Source organism: Homo sapiens, chromosome 2, assembly GCF_000001405.40.
Source record: "Homo sapiens chromosome 2, GRCh38.p14 Primary Assembly".
NCBI lineage: Eukaryota > Metazoa > Chordata > Mammalia > Primates > Hominidae > Homo > Homo sapiens.
The window spans coordinates 102,916,763-102,930,505 of NC_000002.12; the positions used below are offsets into that span (position 1 = coordinate 102,916,763).

The 13,743-nt window shown below is 39.5% G+C and overlaps 1 annotated feature.

The window, feature by feature from the left end:
• Positions 5,141-6,648: an enhancer, noted in NCBI's record as "VISTA enhancer hs1212". NCBI's record gives its function as "enhancer in: heart[4/6]" and the evidence as "EXISTENCE:transgenic organism evidence [ECO:0001131][PMID:17130149]".

Consider the following 13,743-nt stretch of genomic DNA (forward strand, 5'->3'; position numbering starts at 1 on the left):
AATCTTAAAGCTCTGAAATGATCTCCTTTGATGCCATGTCTCACATGTAGGTCACACTGATACAAGAGATGGGCTCCTAAGGCCTTGGGCAGTTCTGCCCCTGTGGCTCTGAAGGGTATAGCCCCCACAGCTGTTTTCCCTGGCTGGCATTGAGTGCCTGTGGCATTTCCAGGCACACAGTGCCAGCTGTTGGTGGATCTATCATTCTGGAGTTTGGAGGATGGTGACCCTCTTCTTATAGCTCCACTAGGCAGTAATCCAGTGGGGACTCTGTGTGACAGCTCCAACCCCACATTTCCCTTCTGCACTGCCCTAGCAGAGGTTCTCCATGGGGGCTCCACCCCTGCAGCAGACTTCTGCCCAGACATCTAGGTGTTTCCTTGCATCCTCTGAAACCTAGCTGGATCTTCCCAAAACTCAACTCTTGTCTTCTGTGCACCCACAGGCCCAAAACCATATGGAAACTGTCAAGATTTGGGGTTTGCACTCTCTGAAGCCATGGCCCGAGCTATGCCTTGGCCTCTTTTAGCCATGGCTGGAGCTGGAAAGGCTGGGATGCAGGGCACCAAGTCCTGAGGCTGCACAAAACAGTGGGGCTCTGGGACCGGTCCACAAAATCATTTTTCCCTCCTAGGGCTCTGGGCCTGTCATGAGAGGGGCTGTGAAGACCTCTGACATGCTCTGAGGACATGTTCCCCATTGTCTTGGTGATTAACATTTGACTCCTCATTACTTATGCAAATTTCTTCAGCCAGCTTGAATTTCTTTTCAGAAAATGGATCTTTCTTTTCTGTCACATCGTTAGGCTGCAAATTTTACAAACTTTTATATTTTGCTTCCCTTTTAAATATAAGTTCAAATTTTAGATAATCTCTTTCAAGTTCAAAGTTCCAAAGATCTCTAGGGCAGGGGGAAAATGCTGCCAGCTTCTTTGCTAAAACATAGCAAGAGTGAACTTTGCTCCAGTTCCCAAAAATTTCCTCATCTCCATCTGAGACCATCTCATCCTGGACTTCATTGTCCATATTACTATCAGCATTTTGGTCAAAACCATTCAACAAGTCTCTAGGAAGATCCAAATTTTTCTGCATCTTTCTGTCTTCTTCTGAGCCCTCCAAACTTTTCCAGTCTCTGTCCATTACCCAGTTCCAATGTGGCTTCCACATTTTCAGGTTCTCTTTATAGCACCACCCCACTCTACTGGTACCAATTTACTGTATTAGTCCATTTTCACCACTATAAAGAATACCAGAGACTGGGTAATTTATAAAGGAAAGACATTTAATTGACTCACAGTTCCACTTGACTGGGGAGGCCTCAGAAAACTTACAATTATGGTGGAAGGCAAAAGGGAAGCAAACACCTTCTTCACAAGATGGCAGGAGGGAGAGAGAGGAAGGAAGAACTGCCAAACGCTTATAAAAATATCAGATCTCATGAGAACTCCCTATCATGAGAACAGCATGGGGGAAACCACCCCCATGATCCAGCCACCTCCGACCAAGTCTCTTCCTTGACACATGGGGATTACAACTCAAGTTGAGATTTGGGTGGGGACACGGAGCCAAATCACATCATTCACATACGCTTTCACAGTGCCCATCAAATACCCCATTTATGTAATCTGTATCCTAAACCAGCCTATGCACTCTAATATGCTATCAAATTCTCATCTGATGGTGAATTATCCCTTAAAAAGAGTGATTTTCATAGTTTTGAAGTAGGGCCATTATTTTTGGCAAGAATTGTGTAAGAAGCTGATTGCTGGCAAGTATGATTTGGTGAGCTCCCTTGGAAACCCAGAGCCTAACTGCCAATGTGCCTTACACACCCCCATGTCCCTACCATCCACTTCGACCCTGCTCTTCTTTATAAGCCATTCTCTTTAACCAAGCATGAGGCTTCCAGGGGGGCTACAATAAAAGGCAAGTCTCCCCTGCTTTGTAATCGTCTCGACCACAATCATTTGTGAAATAAGAACGGTGTCAGATTACTCCTCTTCTTCTTTTGTGGTTATTGTGTTCATCACTAGAGTGTGAGCTCCCTGAACACAGGCACTTTTGTCAGTTTCACCCACTGTGGTATCTGACATGTTAGAAGGATGCCTGGCACAGAGGAGACATTCAGCAAAGATTCGTGGAATGAAGATCACATTCATACATAGGAACACCTTAGAAAGTGGGACCCAGGGCACACAATTTAATGGTTAATATTGTAGATTTTAGGGAAAACTAGTCCTAGATTTGAATACAAATCATTTCTCTTAGTATTTATGTGTCCTTAGACTTTTATTTAACCCCTAAACTAGTTTCTTTTTATAAAAGACAGATAATAGGAGAAATTCTCACTATTGGGAAGATCATAAGAGATAATGTTTATAAAACAACCAATGTGGTACCTCACATATAGCAAGTGCTGAATAACCTGTAGGTATTATCATTATTATTAATACCAAGTGGGGGAGAAGGAAGGCATCACACTTTAAGTCTGAGCATGGGAGGTGCTGGGGCAAACCATAATTAATGGGGAAGCACTGTATTAGAGCAGAAGGAAGCAAGAGAGACCCCAAAACTTCCCCACTATGTCTCCAAAGTGGCTGTCTGAATTAGGATTTTAGAAAGAACTAAGGCATGTGACCTCCATATGTATATTTAAAAACACATAGGTAGGTATATTTATAAAATGAATATTTATTTTTACACCAACATATATGTAGATGTATGCAAAAAGTAAATTAAAACCATTTGCATTTGAAAACATTTGAAGAATTTCACAAAGGCTTTGAGGTTCTGTGGGTGGGCCGAGAGTTGTGGGGGTAGGTGTGAGGGGGGAAATCCCAGAATGTCACAAAACCAGAGATATGGGGTCCATGCTCTAAACACCTGACACACCTCAGAATTTCAATAATATCCAATTATCTTCATTTGCACCAGATGAAGGAAATGAAATTGAGTATAATACCTCTGCTATGTTAAATGTTGTTTGTTTTTCTGTTTGTTTTGAAATGGAGTTTTGCTCTTTTTGCCCAGGCTGGAGTACAATGGCACGACTCAGCTCACTGCAACCTCCATCTCCTGGGTTCAAGTGATTCTCCTGCCTCAGCCTCCCAAGTAGCTGGGATTACAGGTGGCTGCCACCATGCCTGGCTGATTTTTGTATTTTTAGTACAGACAAGATTTCACCATGTTGGCCAGGCTGATTTGAACTCGTGATCTCAGGTGATCCTCCTGCCTCGGCCTCCCAAAGTGCTGGGATTACAGGCGTGAGCCACTGTGCCTGACCTCACATTAACTGTTTATTGGCCTCATGGCCAGGTAATTGATCTGAAACAGATAACTTGCTACCTAGCTGCAAAGTAGAAAAATGCGTGCAGTGTTTGTGGCAATGACAGAGTTCTGTGAAGGGTTTGGCTATTTCAGACACATGGCATGATCTGTGTGGAAAGAGAGATGTTTGTCTGTATTCTGAGACCTCAAAGGTGTAAGCCATTGGACCACTCTTGTTTTCCAAACATAAGACACATTGGCCTTAAGGAAGCAGCCCAAATGACATGATGTTATCTTGCTTTAATCAGTGTACAATGTAGAAAGAATTCAAGATGGGCATTCTATTCCCATACTTCCAGCACTGATGGCACACAGAGCCCTGGACATTAATTTAGCCTCGAGTATTTCGGTTTCTCCCAGGCAAATGGAAATAATGCCTTTGCTACTTGTATTATAGAACTTTTGGGAAGATTAAGATGATGGGTACAGAAATACACAGACCAAAAGAATTTGAAGGTTGTTAGTGAATTTTTTGCTTTCTTCCTCTTACTAGTGGCGGCTTTCTTGTTCTTCCTTCTTGTCCTCTTTCTCCCCCTCTCCCTTCTCCCTCCTTCTTGCTTTGTTGGGCCCCTTATCCTTTGGGAAGGAAAAGTTGGTGAATGTTGTAATAAAAATAAATGAGTTCCCAGTGGGTTGGCCTCACTTTTTCCACCCTCATAATAGACAGGAGGGAAGGTATCCCAGAGATCATCTAGTCAGTTGTCATTTAACTGAAGAAACTGTTTCTAATCCTAAATAAATCTTATGTAGAATCTGGTATATATAATGTTTTTAAAAGAAGTGCTCTATTTTAAATGGGAATCCAAGGATGGAAAGTGAGTTTACAGCGTTCCTGTGTAGGACTTCCCCCAAACCACCAAGTTTTACAGAAAACAGCGCAAAACAAAAGTTTCTTCTCCAACCTTCTCATTTGACATAGGAGAACCTAGAGGATCTGAAGGGTAAAATAACTTGAAGCTAAAGAAAGAATACCTTGTGAGCAGGCCCGTTCAATGACTGAAACTGCCATGGAAATTCATTGCCTAGTGTCTGTGTTAAGGGAAGAGAAGGGCTGGAACACATTATGACTTATGAAATACCATAAGATTGTGAAACCTTCATTCATGGTTTGCTTTGCCTAAAGCAAGTCAAACTCTCCCTTGGCCTTAGTTCTTCATGTGCAGAATGAAAGGGTTGATGAAATGAGCTCCAAGATCCTATAATTCAGGAGTTCCAGCATTCTTCTTCTTAATGAAGAAAGGCCTCCATAGAAGCAAAATACAGTACAGAAAAAGACTCTTCAGATTCCTACAGCAGGTATACTCACCCACAATATTTTCTGAATGCCTATCCTGTGCCAGCCATGGTTTTTAGGTATCTGACACAGCTCCGTGAACAAAGTAGAAAAAAAAATGCATTGGTAACATGCAGCTAAAATTCTACCCAAAGTCAGGTTTTTGTGAGATTTTTATACCAATTTATATCAATGAAGTACTTTTGGCAGATCCGCTACACTTACCCACTGATGGTGGCCATCTCTAGTAAATAATGCCGATGTTTTATGAAGCGTGTACTTGTGCTGGGGGATTTACATATTTTACTTTATTCTTTACGACAACCCTATAAAGTGGGTGTTATTACTCTTTTTACAGATAAGGACACTGAAGCTCAAGGCATTTGCACAAGCTGCCTAAGGCTACTTTTAAAAAGTGTGAAGAAGTTAGGATTTGCCCCAAATCCCCTGACAACTCCTTTGTGTTCTCATTCTTCTCCCTCAGCAACCGATGCCCTCAGCCAATGGAAAAGCCAGAGATATACTTCCATGGAAAAAAAAAGGGACCATTATAAAGAGTTGCATTTAAAGAAACTCTGTTGGGTAGTTAATTTAAGTGAATTCAACATAGACTATTATAAGTAGTCTAGAAAATACACTGTGTTACATATGCCCCTTTGCTTTTTGAGCTGGGATGAAAAAATAAGATTTCTGGGGGTAAAGAAGCCTAAAGCCATGGCATCACTTGGTCTTCTCCATGGAACAAACTCCACTGCTGCATTAATATTGAGTTGATCTTTAGCGACTGTAATGCCTGCATAACATTTGGTGTCCAAGTTATGGTTCCATTCTGGTTGCCTGACTTCCTTGTCTCATTGTCTCTGAGTTGAACACGTCAGTTTGTTTTGTAGTCCTCTGTTTATTGATCAGACCCTGTCATCTCCAAGATGGTCCTTACATGCAATTGAACCCTCCACCTTCCAGACCCTCCTATCCACCTCTCCACAACCTCTGGGCACCCTTTCACCTGGGCTGTCAGAATAATGAAGGCTTGATTTCAATACTTTCCCTCATTTCTCTGTTCACTGCTCTGCGGGTTAATGCAGATTCCAAACTTCAAGAAGCAGCTGTTAAACATGTCATTAACACTGCTTCGGCTGCAAATGAGACTCTGCTACTGGGATTACTCCGTGAGCTATAGTTTTGTGATGAGCTTTGTCAATCACAGCTGACCTGCTGTGTACCGAATGGAACTTAGATTATCTTCTTTCTTCCTCTGACTCTTGTCATTTTTTTTCACAAAGAATTACTATTCTACTCCCTGAAAGATTGATTACTTCCACAAATAAGAGAGTCTGAGACATTAATACAAAATTCACAGGCTTTTCTTTATCTCAAACCTGCAACTCCCTCTACATTTCCTCCTGGTAATTATATTAGAATTGTGTACACTAGGAATTGCCATCTGATTATTATGAAACTAGTTTTGTCATGACAAAAATGAGCTTAAGTCGTGTTTTTTTGGAAAATGATCAGTACAGTGCACTGGATGAGAGAGAAGGAGATTAAATCCAACTTGCTTTCATCCATGAATGCTTTCATCTCTTTTTCAAACACAGGAAATGATTACCACTGCTATAAGCTGCAGTTCATATGAGTGAAAAGGATAAAGAAATATTGAAAATTCTGTAACCAACAGTAGGACATAATATAGGTCTCTGGCACCCACTGTGCGACATGTACTTTATTTTTCTATACTGCCAATGTCAAGAGTTTCAGATTTGAAAGGGAGTCTTACCTTGAGGTGTAACATTATGGACTGAGGAATAAACAAATTGACTTTTTAAAAGAAAAGCTTAGACAAATTTTTAATAGACAATTAAAAAGAAGGTAGTACTTACAACCTCTAGTAACTATTAGCTGTAGTGAAACATTGGCTCATGTTTATAATTTGTAAGAGAGAGAAGGTAGAGCCGTCATTCCATCATAGTGTATTTTCTAATGTATCGTCAAGTATACAAAAGATTCTTCAAGAGCAGTGATCACAGCCTATTTGCCTTTATATCCCTGATATCTAGTATGTTGTTAGCTAGGTAATGGATAATGAAGTGAGTGAGTGAATGAATGAGTGTTCTTTGGGTGAGTTATCCAGTGTCATTTTGAGACTGAAGAAATAAATGTGGTTTTAGTCATTCACATGCAAAAACATTGACTGTGCACTTTCTCTCTATTTCATACACACGCACACATGCCCTTGCAATGCTTATACTCTAATTTACATCCCAAATTACACTCCACAATAGGTCTTATTTTTAACGAGGATAGACACTGAAACTGCTTTATCAGTTATCTAGTGCCGTTATAATACTGTGTAACAAACCACAATACCTTCAATGGCATTCAACAAAAAACATTTATTGTTTATATGCAATATATGCAATTTCTTACCAAGTAACACAATTAATGAATTAGGTTCACCTCAAAACACTAAATAATATATCTGTTCCTTACTCCAGGCAGAGACACAAAAACTGGAACCTTAAAGATGAACAGGAAATGATGGAAAACAGGAGGAGAACCATGTGATTAGACATATATAAAACTGGAAGCTTTATCAACTCCCACAGTTCCATCTGGGGTCAGCTGGGGGTTGGGTAAATGGTTCTGCAGTTCTTGGTTGGGCTTGGGGTCTGGGGATCAGCTGTTGCATGATCGACGATGGCTTCCACTTAGACAAATAGGGCAGGTTAGCTGTGCTCCACGTGTCTGTGTTTCTCCAGCAGCCCAGTCTGAGTGTGTCCCCATTGATGGCAGAGTTGTAAGAGTGAGAAACCTGTAGGCTTCTAAGGTCTTGGCCTGGAACTGCCACTTCCTCTCTACTCTATTGGTCCAAACAAAATAGACGGGGTAGAAGAATATACTCTGCTTTTGTAGGACAAAATTCAAAGTGACATGCCAAAAGGCATGGTTAGAGGGAGGGGTGAATAATTTGGCTGTTTTCATAAATTGCGCATTTGCTATTTTATGAATGCCTTTAAAATAAAGGAATATTGATCACATTGAATTGAGTGCACTTGGGGTTCAGTTTACTCCTTTCTGACCTCTAGTTACACGTGCATAAAATATAATATTGTTGTGCTCAAATGAGATAAAAGGAAGAAATGTATGTTTCTCTCATATTTGAAATCAAGAGGCATGTTCTGTTCCAGGCCACTAGCAGACACAAGCTTTTCCTCTAGACAGCTGATATTCTTTTTGCTATGTAGGTGTGAATAAAAGAGCAACAGAGATGGTGTAAAAACTGCTAATAGAGAAACAGCACAGGAGGTGGATGGAGGGTGGGGACAGTACGGGCTAAAAAAAGCAGGAATTCTCACTCCAAAATGGAAGCTTTATCAACTTCCAGTTCCATCTGAGATAGCACAAGAGAGCAAAAGAAGAGAGATGGTTTTCAATAGATCAATAAGGTGATCACTAAACTAAGTCCATGACCCAAGGTTATTTGAGTATTTCATATTTTGACTCATTTACATCTCATGAGCCCCAATAGTGCTTCTCAGTATTCAATTTTTTTCTCCATTGATTTTAATTAAGCTCACCATAGGCTAGCAACCCTGATGAACAGGAAGAGTATTTTCTATCAAAAAGCTGTGTAGCTTCTGAGGCCTGAATTCGGAAGCTCGCCTACATCTATTCAAAATGTTTTTACTTCCATCCTGTGGCACGATTCTTAAAATGTGAAATAAAGACACATTCTGCTGCTACGCCATAAAGATTTTCCACTCTGTAACTGTGAAAATTACCATATTATTCCTGATTCAGACATGTCATATGGAATCTGGGATCAGTGATAAGTGCTGTGTATACAGTAGCTTCTGTGCGGGAAGTGGCGCTTGCTGCTGTTCATGATGGGACATGCTTTCATACCTCCATTTAGATGTCTAATCACATGGTTCTCCTCTCGTTTTCCATCATTTCCTCTTCATCTTTAAGATTCCAATTTTTGTGTCTCTGACTAGAGTAAGGAACAGACATATTATTTAGTGTTTTGAGGTGAACCTAATCCATTAATTGTGTTACTTGGTAAGAAATTGCTGCTCTATCTTTATGACAAGGTATCTCAAGGCAAAAATCAGAGCCATTTGAATGATAGCTTTAAGAGGAAAGTGGGGCAATGTCAGTCCATAGGAAGTGTTTTCAGAGCACAAGGGACTTCTTTATATAGTCCATCTATTTAATAAGTGCAATAGTGTATATTCTAACAATGGCTTAGCATAGAAAATGAAAAACGTGGGTCCAATAGAAATCAGAACAATAGGACAAGTCATTTGAATGCAGTGTTATCAAAAGCCACTGAGTAATCTTACTCAGCCATATCATTCTGGGGAAAAAAAAGGAGAAAGGAAGGAAGAAAACAAGGAAAGAGGAAACCAACTGATCAACCAAAACTCTGATTATAAAGTTATGTTAATTTTTTAATATAGAAAACTAGTTATCTATTGCCACATAACAAATTACCCCCAAATTTAGTGTCTACAAAGAATAACATTTATTACCTGAATGTTTCTTAGGTCAGGAATCTGGGTACAGCTTAGCTAGGTATGTCTTATTCAAGGTCTCTCCTGAAGCTGTAGCCAAGCTGACAGCTGGGACAGTGGTCTCATCTGAAGACTCTACTGGAGAGGGGTATGGGAAGGAGAGTGTGAATTTGTTTATAAGTTCTCTCGCCCCTGGTCCCTCACCACACAGACTCACAACATGGCAGTTGGCTTCCCCAAGACAAGTGTTCCAAGAAAGAGCATGACAGAGCTTGAGAAGGAAGCAAGTCTTTTTAAAACCTAATCTTGAAAGTGACATTCCATCATATTTGCTGTATTCTGTTAGAAGCAAATCAGTGTCTTTCTCATTGTCAAGGGTGGCAGATCACAAGGCCTGACACCTGGCTGGTGGGAATCATTGGCAGCCACATTCATAGGTACCTACCCTATGCATAAAGGCACAAAGACGAGCACTTAGAAAACCCATCTGTAATCTTATCACCCAAGGAGAGTTATAGTTAAATTTTTAGTACATGCACATACAGATATTTATCAATACATTGAAATCCATTTGTATCATTTTCCTCAAAGAATTAGTTCATACCATATGCAACTTTCTGAAACCCCTCACTTAATAATGGGCTATACAGTAAAACAAAAAGCTTTTCATAAATCAACTAATGCATATTTATTTTGAAAACAAAAGCAAAATCCAATTGATCTATAACCTCACTACTTGGACATAACTACTATTGGCCTTTTATAGTACTTTCATCTCTTTTTTCATGTTTATCTGTCTATAAATACAAACACCTAAACACAAATGTTATCTACTATCATGCCCTTGGTAACCTGGGTTCTTATGTTGCTCTCAAAGAAAGCTGTGGTTAGCAGCACTCACTGTGGAAGGACATCCAATCTCTGCAGAAAACAATTTATATTTATTGTTAATATCATAGTTGTTACACATTGAAGAGCTTGACTAAACTGCCATTTTACATTTTGTCAATATCTTATTTTGAGGTGCAGTATTAAATATATTTGATAGTTAAAGTTAAGGAAAATACAAATTTATTGTTCAAACAGAAAATACCAATATTTCAACAACAGTGATTCAGATAATGTTCCATTATGCTTAAAAAGTTAAAAAAGGAGACAACTCAAAAATAAAAACACAAATACAACTAAGTGTAGAAATAAATGCGAAATTAGCACTTTTGTTTCTGCAAGATATCTTGTGTCACACTAATTTGTTAAATGCAAGTTTATCGATTGGTGGTTTTGTTCGTGCCTGAGTCAAGTTGAATAAAGGTACAGGAGGTTGTGAGTATAGAGTTTAGATGTAGTTAAATCTTTGTATTATTTAAATGACTTTGTAATAAAAAATAATAATGATTGGCTATCCATGAGAATTTTTCCCTTTAAGGAATTGTGAATTCATTACCAACATGCCCATTTTATTGCTAATATTAGGCTCGTATTTTGGACAGTTTCTGCCTTTGCATATAACATCTCTCTCTTCATTACCATTGCCCACAAAATCTTAATACTTACTTTCTTCTTTATTTTTGTCTTGAAAAATCTATAAGCTTTGTTAAGATTGCACTGGCTAATGATATTTGCTCCCCTTTCCTGATAATTGAAACTATATATGTAATATACATGCATGATCAATCTACTAAGAACTACTATTCCAAAGTCCCCGGTCTAATGAAACACACATTCTAGAAGGGGAGATTGTGTGTGTGTATTTTCCTTTGTGAGTATATATGTGTGGGTTTTGAGTATTGCTAAAGTGTATTAAAGTGTTAGGTAATGATAAATTCAATGAAGAAAAATAAAGCAAGCGACACAGCTAATCCAGTGAGGTTTGACTATTCCTTATCTGACCCCAGGTCCCCAGGATGGACAGCCATCCTGTTTGGTAAGGAGTCAGAGGCAGCTATACTCAGTATGCTCTCAGTTCTCAAACCTGGCTGCACACTGAAAACACATGGAGGGCTTTAAAAACACTGTGCTTGCATAGACAGAAAGATGGACACAGTAAACGTTGGGCACTCCAAAAGGGAGGAGGAAGGGAGGGGCTAGTGTTGAAAAACAATGGGTACTATGTTCACTATTTGGATGATGTGTTCCCTGAAGCCCAAACTCTAGCATCAGCCACTATACCCATGTAGCAAACTTGCGCATGTACCGCTGAATCCAAAATACAATCCAATAAAATAAAATAATAAAAATGCTGTGCCTGGATCCTGTCTCCAGAGGTTCTGTTGTGATTGGCCTCGGGTGTTCTGGCCTGAGCAGTGGGATTTTTAACAGCTCCTTTGCCAATTCCAAGAAGTCAGACTCCTAAAGTCTGAAGCTCTCCAGATGACGGCATTTGTAAATTGGCTTTTAGTGTAGATGGATGGTGCCAATCTCCTGCTTACAGCTCTCCAGTGGCTCATCAAGGCCCATGGTGGTGTTTCTCAACCCTGCCTGATAGCAAAAATCACCTGGGGTGCTTGTTAAATGTCCAGATCTTTAGAATCTCTTCCCTATCTACTAAATCAGAGTCTCCAGGAACAGAGTCAGTGGGTCATCTCAGCTCTTCTTAACAAGCAACCTGGTTGATAACATCTGGCAAATTTTAACAGCCTTCTCAAAATTATTGCCTGAATTCCTTCCATGGCATTCAAGGCCTATGAATCCAGCTTCAAATGTCATCCTTTAAGCTATGCCAGACTGATTACTATTTACAGATTGCAATGCACTCTTATAATCTCCTGGTTAGAAACTTTTGCCAAAAACACTTTGTCAGTTCGGTGTTTACAATTTGTAGCAAGTGGCAGAGGGATTTTTTGGTAAAAGGGAAGAGGCTATTTTGGAATACATACTGGGTCTCTCACAGAGAATTCATGAAGAGAATGGTTTATCAGCCAACAGTGGGTTTGTTCATAGCACTGTGCAATATTTTGTGCCTATCTCTTTTTACTCATGAGGAGCTTTGCTCCCACTAGGCTGCTGAAGCTTTTTCTTATCATCTTTTGATGATCTAAGGGACCTCGTTTGTAATGACAGAATACTAAGTTTAGATGTATTTAGTTTCATAATTTGAAAAGTATTTTTTTAAACCATGGAAGCTCATTTGTTTTTCCATTACCCAAGTAGATTGGAAAACAAGGGCCCATCATCATTTAATGGAGAATCTGAGGCCAACAAAACCCAGAGAACTTAAGAGGATTATACCAGGTTGCACAGCTGGCCAGCAGCTGAGTAGAGTCTAGATTTCTGTACATTCTCATTCCCTAGTTTTTCTACCTCGTTGAGAATTGATTCTCTCCCTTTGTACCATTTATAAATGATTCCCACTATTTACCTGATGGTCTTTACTTGGTGTACAGCTCATGAATGCTATTTTCCTCTTAAAACTTAAAATAGGCTGCTAAGGTTAGATGGTAATGGTGTCCTTTTTAATAATAAATTAATGTGGGTATTACTTTATCATACTTAATTAGAAATCATGAGATTATTTTGGAAATTTGTGGATTATAGAGCAAAGTAGAAGGTTTACATCTAGGGAAGAAAGAGATGAAGTGTTTATTTTGTTTTTCTTAGATAAATACTTCATGTAGGTCTGAATGGTCAGATGGGATGTATAATTCAGCTTGCTGTGGGAGATGATGGAAACTTTTCACTCTGAGGCAGTAGGGAAGATCACTGTGGCTGCAGGACCTTGTAGGAGAGGGAAAGAGATAGTGTGGTAATGCCAAAGAAAACCAGACCTTTCAAGAGATTTTTTTTCCACTGAATTGCTTTTATTATTTTATCATAAGATTTGGGTTTTTTCCTTTTTTTTCCACCCAGCTAGAAGTGGATGCATGCAAGAGGTGTGAGAGAAGAGTCAAGCAGAATTCTGTAAAGTGGGCTGTTGACTTGGTTTTATCCTTTTTGGGGCAGAGGTTTGAACTCATCAGCCACAGTCAGGATTTAACTTGTTTAGGCATCAGAGTAACAGCTCTTAGCAGGAGGTTCCTCCCCCCTTCTGCCTAGAACGCTCACCACTGTGTGTGTGTGCCTCCTCATTTTCCTCCCTCAGGTCTGAGCTTACGCTCACTTGCTCTGAGAGTCCTGGCTGTGCTTGCAACTGTGTCCCTGTTCCTGGGCCTTATAACCCCCTGCTCTTTCTCTTTGTGCCACTCAGCCCTATTTGTAGCTAAGTAATTATTTGATAATTTTATGTCTTTCCTGGTAGACTTCCAGTCCACAAGAATATGGATCGTATCATTTCCCTCCAGTATTGTATTTTCAGTGTCTAGAGCAACAGCAATTATGATTGAGTGAATAAATGAATGAATAAGTGAATGAATGCTTTTCACTGAAATGCTATTCACTCTCCATTTGAAATGCACTTTTCCTGTCCTTTCTCTCAGAGAAATGAAAACAAAACTCTTAGTACTCTTTGAGGACTCTGTTTAGATATCATATTATTTTTGTTCTTGTGGAAATTTTCTGCATTTTCTTCTGGAATAGAAAAAAGTAATCTTTTTCATTTCTGCTCATTAAGCCTTTGCATATCTCTCTATAATCATAAGGCAACAGTACATACTATAAAACTTAGGAGTTTTATTTTTCTGTTCCCCTGCAA